At 37.9% G+C, this 10281-nt stretch overlaps 1 long non-coding RNA gene across 1 annotated transcript in view; it reads left to right on the top strand.

Annotated features, from left to right (window-relative positions):
* Nucleotides 1-289: 289 nt before the first annotated feature.
* The window catches only part of LOC124901290 (uncharacterized), a 27799-nt gene continuing 17807 nt past the window's right edge, over nt 290-10281 (top strand). The window contains exon 1 of the long non-coding RNA XR_007059532.1: nt 290-646. This is a non-coding gene — a long non-coding RNA (uncharacterized LOC124901290). The remainder of the gene's footprint in view (nt 647-10281) is intronic.

Genomic DNA, 10281 nt, shown 5'->3' with positions numbered 1-10281 from the left:
GCCCTCTCTCACCACTCCTATTTAACATAGTGTTGGAAGTTCTGGCCAGGGCAATCAGGCAAGAGAAAGAAATAAAGGGTATTCAATTAGGAAAAGAGGAAGCAAATTGTCCCTGTTTGCAGATGACATGGTTGTATATTTAGAAAACCTCATCGTCTCAGCCCAAAATCTCCTTAAGTTGATAAGCAACTTCAGCAAAGTCTCAGGATACAAAATCAATATGCAAATATCACAAGCATTCCTATACACCAATAACAGACAGAGAGCCAAATCATGAGTGAACTCCCATTCACAATTGCTACGAAGAGAGTAAAATACCTAGGAATCCAACTTACAAGGGATGTGAAGGATCTCTTCAAGGAAGTCACTTTCTGTATTGTACTTCGCTTAATACTTAAGCCTCCAGGAAAGTTTTGTTAGATATTGCAGTCAGGTCTAGGCTAAGTATTTTAAATTTTTTATTTTTATTTTATTTGGTTATAAGCGGTGCTCTGATCAGTGACAGAAGTGACTTGGTTCCACCTTTAACAGAACGTTGGTGTAGAGCAAATCAGCACAATCTTCTCCTCTATGAACATGTGTGTTGACTCATGCATACTCAAGAAACCCTGTGAAGCAGCCTTGAAAAGAGATTTTTCTGGCCAAGGTAATAAGCAAATACTTGTATAGATGTTATGACTGTGCAAATGGTTTGCAAGAAGACCTCAGAAATGACTTGCAGAAGAGAATTTTGAAAAAAAAAATTTAACTGGCTGTAACACAATAGAAAGCCAGTCATTAATTGTAATAACTCTCTAGTGTTGATACTCTAAGGTATGAGCATACCTCAGAATTAGGACCAGTTCATATTATACTAAAAAATAAATATTGTCTTAAATGATATGGTGTTATTAGGTCACATTAAAATGAGGAACACTCATTTTGCTTCTATTATAATTATCATGGAGTCATTCACAGCTAAAATATCTGGAATTGGTTCATACAGATATTTACATTAGTCACCAAACACTCACTCATTTGGATAGTCAGCTGGGCTAAAGTAAAATATGTATTATAAAGATTACCTTAATTACTGAAAACACATCCTGGAGTATTTCTGCTTTCGTGAAACAAACAGCCAATAAAAAGTTTCTGGATTTTGAAAGGCCCAATTCACTATGGTATTGTAGTCCATAGAGAAAAGAAGCCTCTGGCATTTCCTTGTTTATCATAATTATGTTGCATTTCAATTATTATTCTAATTAATCATTAAACAGGCACTTCAGGCTTTGCTATGATGATAGAATTGATTTCCACGTTGCTTTGATGTCCCATGAACATGACCTCGTCAGTGTAACTCTAACCTTGAGATGCCTCTTCGTTTCCTTTTAGTAACTAGAGACTAAATCCCTCAGACACATTCTGGAATCTGATGCTCTATATGTCTAATGTGTTAGAAGCTCCATTAGGATGTAACAAGATTTTAGCCACATTCCCCGCAGCACTTTGGAGTACTGCTGCTTCATGAGATTTTTCTCTAAAGTAACCTTTCAAAGTCAGCCACAAAACCTCTTATTCTAGATCATACTGGCATCTGACCTTTGTAAACTTACAAGAAAAAATAGGAAAAAGGAAGATGCTAAGGGAGACACAGTTATCTTTTTCAAAATGCAGCTAAACCCACAAGCTACAGAGATATCATGACCTATAAAGTTCAGAGCTGTGTTTTTTTTTTTTTTGTATTTTTGTATTATACTTTAAGTTTTAGGGTACATGTGCACATTGTGCAGGTTAGTTACATATGTATACATGTGCCATGCTGGTGCGCTGCACCCACTAACTCGTCATCTAGCATTAGGTATATCTCCCAATGCTATCCCTCCCCCCTCCCCCCACCCCACCACAGTCCCCAGAGTGTGATATTCCCCTTCCTGTGTCCATGTGATCTCATTGTTCAGTTCCCACCTATGAGTGAGAATATGCGGTGTTTGGTTTTTTGTTCTTGCGATAGTTTACTGAGAATGATGATTTCCAATTTCATCCATGTCCTTACAAAGGACATGAACTCATCATTTTTTATGGCTGCATAGTATTCCATGGTGTATATGTGCCACATTTTCTTAATCCAGTCTATCACTGTTGGACATGTGGGTTGGTTCCAAGTCTTTGCTATTGTGAATAATGCCGCAATAAACATACGTGTGCATGTGTCTTTATAGCAGCATGATTTATAGTCATTTCTTTCTAACAATTACCCACAGCTATTATGATTTGCTCCCATCACTAAAACTGTCATTGCTAAGATAATTGCTCCAGTTTGAGAAGGTAGAAGATTTAACAAGTAACTAATATGTAAAGGATAGAGAGAAGAAGGGGAGAGGTTGATATGATCCCTGTCCTTTCACACTGTTAATATGCCAGGTGATAAAATGTCTCATTCACTCTGAAACATTATCACTATACAGGCACTCCTTACAGTGTTTGTTCTCATATATGTCCTCGTATTTTTTTTTTCTTTTAAAGTGGCTCTGAGAAATGGCTAATGCACAATCTAATTATGTGATAATAAATGTTAATGACAGTATTATCAGATGATAACTAGGCTTCATTAATGTGTCTCATTATGATTCTCAGTCCCTTGTGGAAGATTGTGAAGAAAGCACCTTAGATATTCCAGATTATATTTGAATGTAGTAGTTACAGAGCCCATATCCAGGGAGAAAGGAAGATATCAGAGACACCTTTAAGCTCTTTCTCTAATTTTGCTTCTTCAAACCTAAGCATCCATCAATCACATCTCAAAATTTATCATATACCTTCAGCATAATAAAAATAGTAATTATAATAATAGTAATAGTCCTGATATGACAAATAATATGTAAGATCATTTTAGTTGTAACTGCTGATATATTTTGGTATAAGTATGCAGGCATTTATGTCCCAAACATTATGACCTTGATTATCCATAAGCAAGTTCAAATCATTTAGAGAGGATACACTTATTTAAAGGTTTGCACCTGTTAAATTTTGGTTCTGCTACACTATATATATATATATATATATATATATTTTGTTGTTGTTGTTGTTGTTGTTGTTGTTGTTGAAATGGAGTCTCCCTCTGTTGCCCAGGCTGGAGTGCAGTGGCACAATCTCAGCTCACCGTAACCTCCGCCTCCTGGGTTCAAGTGATTGTCCTGCCTCAGCCTCTCAAGTAGCTTGGATTACAGGCATCTGTCAACACGCCCAACTAATTTTGTATTTTTAGTAGAGACAGGTTTCTCCATGTTGGTCAGGCTGGTCTTAAACTCCCGACCTCAGGTGATCCACCCACCTCAGCCTCCCAAAGTGCTGGGATTACAGGCATGAGCCACTGCACCCAGCCAGCTACACTATTCTTAATATTCAAAGTAGCACTGTCAAGTTATCACCAAGATTTCATCACAATTTTTATTATTTTTCTATATTTACCCTCTATTTTAACTATGTAAATTTATCAAATGTTTTAATATTTGAGAGGGCAAATCTACTATCACCGTTATTTAATGTTTTGTATTTTTTCTTAATTATTATATTTTTTAAATTGACGTGATAATTGTACATATTTATGGGGTATGTAGTGATATTTCGATACATACAATGAATAGTTAACAGATTCGTGTAATTCACATATCCATCATGTCAAAATTTATTATTTCTTTGTGATGGGAACATTCAGTTTACCCCTTCTAGCAATTTGAAACTATATATTATTGTCAACTACGGTCATCCCACAATGCTATAGAACACTAGAACTTATTTGTCTCTAGCTTTAATTTTGTATCCCTTGACAAATCTTTCTTTATCCTTCTCTCATCCCACCCTTCCCTGTCTCTAGTATATTCCATTCTACTTTTTCCTCCTCTGAGATCAACTTTTTTTTAGTTTCCACATATGAGTGAGAACATGCAGTGTTTAACTTTCTGTTCTTACCTTATTTTACGTAACATAATGTCCTCTTGATTTGTCGAGGCTGCTTCTTATAGTTTCTATTAGAAATATGTGTGTGTGCGCCTGTGTGTGTATAATGTAGGATATTTTAGGTAACTAAATAGTTGTAAATAAGGCTGAACTGTATTTTTAAGGTTTTATTTGTGACTAATAATTTGTCTTATTAATAAAGCCTAGGTTAAAAAAATAAGTGGAAGACATATCTGTCACACACTATATCTTGGGAGTTTTGAAAAATAAAGTGTTGATTTCAGGCAAAATACTTAGTTCAACTGTAACTAAATCAGCAAAGATGTCATGATTCCATAAGGGATCCACTCTAAATATAATGTTAAATGGAATATTTCATTATATTTTAGAAGTAGGGACTACTAGTTTGACATTTATGTTTTTGAGTATATGTGGTTGCATTCTTATATCTAATAAAATATTCAGTTGTCTTAAACTTAACATTCTTAAGGCCTAGGGCAAGAATAATAATCAAAACCTATATAGTGTATGTTTGCATATTTAAAAGTTATAAATCAAGTTAACAAACTGTTAAATAAAGTATGCTGTGTTCTCTCACTTTGACACATATACCTTCTCAATGAAATTCAGGTTTGGAACTAGAATTCTTGGGCCGTCAACATCCAGCATAGAATATGACGACATAGAGAGAGCCGGTGCCCTGACCTGGTCTCATACCATGAGAGGCCTTCTGTGTATACGTTTTGGGTACCTCTGTTGATATGTTGAAACTCAGTCTACCACTGTAGCTCTAGCAAAAAGCTTCCCATTGGCCCACAGGGCCTCTAGTTGTGCACTCTGTATACGTGGTTCACCATGAAAGACAGAACTGGTGGAGAGGAACATGGACGCTGGAAGCAGTCTCAAAACCCTTTGAAGACAGAATTCTAAGTCTTTATGTTCTACAGCATGATCTAAAAGGTGGTAGGTGGGGGTGAGCAGCATCACCTCCAACTAACCTCATCCCCTTGGACCAGGTAAACTCCTTGTACTTTGGGGAGGAATGTGGCCAGAGAGAGGACCATAGTGGAGCCCTTGAAAGCACAGGCTCCAGGGCAAAGTGTTCTTTTGCTCAATTATATGGGCATTCTTCTTATGGGTGTAGTTATTTGCTTATTGCTATGTAATGATTTGGATTTAATAATGCTATATTGAAAGTGCAATGGCCTACAGAACTGAGGGATCACGTTTTAGCTTAAATTCAATAGAAAAAAATGACTCTTTTATAAAAAAAAGTATTTAAATTTGTAAGTTGTCATCCCTATCCACTAAGGGATATTAAATGTATTAAATACTGGGAAATATATATGCACATATATATTTATATATGTATGTATGTGTGTGTGTGTGTGTGTGTGTGTGTGTATAATAGTGATCAGAGAAAAAGACAAATGAAGACAAACAGCAATAAGGATAAAAATAGTCCAATCATATGAACTCCCAGATGCCATTTTGGAGGAAAATAAAAATTTCCATAGAAATCAATAGATAAGGAACAGATATTTAAGAAAATGTGCTTGGAACAAGTGCACATAAAATAACTAAAATTTAGCATAATGGTCATGAAGGAAAAAAATGTTATGCATGAAAACAAGACATTATGGAATATGAGAAAATTAGATGCTGAAGAAAATAATTGATTGGACTAAAATTATTCCATTAGGCACTCTGATTAATACTCATTATTTAGTGGGGAGAAATATAGAGGTTGTTATTAGAAGACCCAATAGGCCCACTATAACCTTTATATAACATTATATATATTTATATTGATCAATTTTACAGCTTCCAGTTTAAATAAAGGTTCATTCAGTCTCAGTAGATGCATTTTCTATATATTATAGGTATCTTTATATAATTACATATATGTGTATATAATATTGAATATTGACAGATTATAATCACTTACATTTATGGCGTATAGAGTTATGCTTTAATGTATGCATCCAATTTGATATGACTAAATCAAGTTCATACCCATCGCCTCTAATAATTACCATTTATTTCTCCTGTCTCACAGAAACTTTGCACTCTTTCAACAATATCTCTTCATTCCTCTCACTCCTAAATCTCTGGTAACTATTCTGTTCTCTACTTCTAGAATTCAACTATTATAAAGTCCACATAAAAGTGAGAACATATGGTATTTGTCTTTCTGTGCCTGGCTTATTTCACTTAGCATAATGTCTTTGTATTAGTCCTTTTACACACTGCTGTAAAGAACTACCTGAGACTGGGTAATTTGTAAAGAAAAGAGGTTTAATTGACACACAGTTCCTGAGGCTGGAGAGGCCTCAGGAAATGTACAATCATGGCAAAAGACAAAGGGGAAGCAAGACACATCTTACATGGTGGCAGGAGAGAAAGAGTGTGAAGGGGGAAGTGCCACCAGATCTTATGAGAACTCACTCACTATCACAAGAACAGAAAAGGGGAAGTGTGCCCCCATGATTCAATTACCTCCCACCAGGCCCCTCCCCCAACATGTTAGAATTACAATTTGAGATAAGATTTGGGCAGGGATGCAGAGCCAAACCATATTGTTCTGCCCCTGGCCCCTTTAAAATATCATGTTCTTTTCACTTTTCAAAGCCAATCGTGCCTTCCCAAGAGTTCCCCAAAGTCTTAACTCATTCCAGCATTAAACCAAAAGTCCAGTCCAAAGTCTTTCTGAGACAAACAAGTCCATTCCACCTATGAGCCTGTAAAATCAAAAACAGATTAGTTACAATGGGGTTACAGGCATTGGGTAAATACTCCTGTTCCAAAAGGGAGAAATTGGTCAAAACAAAGGGGCTATGGGCCCCATCCAAATCCAAAACCCAGCAGGACAGTCATTAAGTCTCGAAGCTCTGAAATAATCTCCTTTGACTCCATGTCTCACATCCAGGGAATGCTGATGCAACAAGTGGGCTCTCAAGGCCTTAGGCAATTCTACTCTTGTGTGTCTGCAAGATACAGCCCCTTTGATTGCTTTCGTGGATTGGCATTGAGTGCCGACAGCTTTTCCAGGCAGCCAGGGCGAGCTATCGGTGAATTTATCTTTCTGGGTTCTATAGGACTGTGGCCCTCTTCTCACAGCTCCACTAGGCAGTGCCCCAGTAGGAACTCTGTGTGAGGGCTCCAGCCCCACATTTCTCCGGTGCACTGCCCTCATAGAGGTTTCCATGACAGCTCCATTCCTGCAGCACACTTCTGCCTGGATATCCAGGCACTTCCCTATATTATCTGAAATCTAGGTGGAGGTTCCTAAACCTCAATTCTTGTGCACACCTGCAGGCCCAGCAGTATGTGGAAGCTGCCAAGGCTTGGGGCTTGCACCCTCTGAAGCAGTGGCCTGAGCCATGGCTGGAGCTGGAGCTGCTGGGACACGGGTCTTCACGTCCCAAGGCTGCACAGAGGACCGAGGACCTGGGCCCAACCCAAGAAACAATTTTTCCCTTCTAGGCCTTTAGGACTGTGATGGGAGGTGCTGCCGTGAAGATCTCTGAAATGCCCTGGAGACTTTTTCTTCACTTTCTTGGAGATTAACATCAGGATCCTCTTGATTTATGCAAATTTATGCAGCCAGCCTGAATTTCTCCCCAGAAAATGGTTTTTATTTTTTTAACCACATGGTCAAGTTGCAAATTTTCCAAACTTTTAATGTCTTCTTTCCTTTTAAACATAAATTCCAATTTCAAACCATCTCTTTGTGAATGCATGTGACTGTACACTTTTAGAAACTGCCAGGTCAGGGCGTGGTGGTGCATGCCTGTAATTTTCCCAGCTACTTGAGAGGCTGAGGCAGGAGAATCGCTTGAACCTGGGAGGTAGAGGTTGCAGTGAGCCAAAATCACACCACTGCACTCCAGTCTGGGTGACACAGTGAGACTCCATCTCAAAAAAAAAAAAAAAAAAAAAAGGAAAAGAAAAAGAAACCACTCGGTCAAATCTTGAATGCCTTTCTGCTTACAAATTTCTCCTGCCAGATGCCCTAACTTATCTCTCTCAAGTTCAAAGTTTAACAGATCTCTAGGAGAGGGACAAAATGTCACCAGTCTCTTTGCTAAAGCATAGAAAGAGTGACCTTTACTACAGTTCACAATAAGTTCCTCATCTCTATCTGAGACTACCTCAGCCGGGACTTTATTGTCCATATCACTATCAACATATTGATCAAAACTATTCAACAAGTCTCTAGGAAGTTCCAAACTTTCCCATATCTTCCCGTCTTCTTCTGAGCCCTCCAAACTCTCCCAACCTCTGCCTGTTACCCAGTTCCAAAGTCACTTCCACATTTTCAGGTATCTTTGTAGCAGTGCCACACTTTCCTGGTACCAGTTTTCTGTATTAGTCCATTTTCACATTGCTATGAAGAACTACCTGAGAGTGGGTAACTTATAAAAAAAAGAAGTTTTAATTGACTCATAGTTCATGGCTGGAGAGGACTCAGGAAGGTTACAATCATGGCGGAAGGCAAAGAGAAAGCAAGGTACATAGTGACAGGAGAGAGCACAAAACGAGAAGTGCCACACATATTCAAATAATCAGTTCCTTCTCATGTCACTTCGTTCTAATCCTCTGTCATTTAATTGCTCTCTGAAACAGCAGAGAGAGGTTGTTTACTTTTAAGGATTCATGTGATTAAATTAGGCTCACCTGGATAATCCAGGCTAATCTCTCTAGCTCAAACTCCTAACTTTAATCACATTTGCAAAGTCATTGTTCCCATGCAAAGTAATAGATTCACAGGTTCTGAGGATTAAAATATGAATATCTTGGAGGGGGGCATTATTCTGCCTATGCAGAATTTTAATTATACTTTCCCCATTTTCCTTCTTTCTTGACTGATTTTTGTCACGATTTGGAAAATTATAAATTTCCCAAGAAATGCCAGGAAGGAATTTCCATATGGAAACATGGCAATACAGCCTGGAAAACACTATGGACAGTTGCATGGACCTCACAGTAAGGAAATCTAACATAGGCTTCAGGCTGGGGAAAGCTTTATAGACAATGGATGTCATAAATAGGTTTTTGAAGAATGTGTAGTAGTTATCTTTGTGAAAGTTAAGGGAAGAGAGGATTGGAGTCATTAATTCACAGGACTGTGATTAAACTGAGACATACAAATTTCATTTTTAGGGGGAAGTTAAAAATAGTTTAGTATGAGTTCAAATGTAGGAGGAGAGGGATATAAAATTTGAGAGTTAAGCATTGGACCTGTGTAAGTCTATTCTCATGCTGTTAATAAAGACATATCTGAGACTGGGTAACTTATAAAGGAAAGAGGTTTAATTGACTCACAGTTCAGGATGGCTAGGGAGGCCTCAGGAAAGTTAGAATCATGGCAGAAGGGGAAGCAACCATGCCCTTCTTCACATGGTGGCAGCAAGGAGAAGTGCCAAGCAAAAGGAGAAAAAGCCCCTTATAAAACCATCAGATTTAGTGAGAACTCATTATCATGAGAACAGCATGAGGGTAACTGACCCCCATGATTAAATTACCTCCCACAGGGTCCCTCCTGAGACATGGGGGTTGTCAGAACTACAGTTCAAGATGAGATTTGGGTGGGGACACAGCCAAACCATATCAGACCAAACATGAAAGTCTAAGAAGCTTTGACTTTTAAGACAACATTAGGAAGTGCTTGAAGGGTTGTAAACAGTGGCACCACAAAAAAAAAAAAAAAAAAAAAAAAAAAAAAATGTGTTTTTAAGATAACTTCAGAGGCTACAGTACAGAGTATACATTTAAATACAATCAATAGATTAAAATGAAATAAACAGGGATATGGTTCGAGAACATGCATAGTAATCACAATGAGAAACATTACAGTGACTTCAACTAAGTAGAGCAAGAAAAACACTAATATACAGCTACTGCAAGTGCAAGTGAATGCAGTAAATTTGGAAAAGAGTGTGGCAGTATCTAGTTGAAGATACACTTTTCTTACCAGCAATTCTGTAATCACTTGATAGGTTCTTCTTGTCTGCCACGCAGAAAAGCCAATGCAGTGAGAACAGCAGGTTTTGCAGCAAAGAAAGAGTTTAATAATTGCAGGGCCAGCCAAGTGGAAGGATGAAAGATAATGCTCAAATCCACCTCCCTGAGAATTTGGAGGCCAGAGTTTTTCAAGGATAGTTTGGTGGACAGCGGGTAGGGACTGGGGAATGCTAATTTGTTGGGTAAGGGATGAAATCATAAAGGGTCAAAGCTGTCTTCTTGCACTGAGTCAGTTCCTGGATCAGGGGTTCATGAGACCAGCTGAGCCAGTTTTTTTTGTTGTTTGCTTTTTGTTTTTTTGTTTTTTTGAGACGGAGT

Source organism: Homo sapiens, chromosome 6, assembly GCF_000001405.40.
Source record: "Homo sapiens chromosome 6, GRCh38.p14 Primary Assembly".
Lineage (NCBI taxonomy): Eukaryota > Metazoa > Chordata > Mammalia > Primates > Hominidae > Homo > Homo sapiens.
The sequence above is the reverse complement of the archived record's forward strand: the minus strand, read 5'-3'. Positions and strand labels throughout refer to the sequence as shown.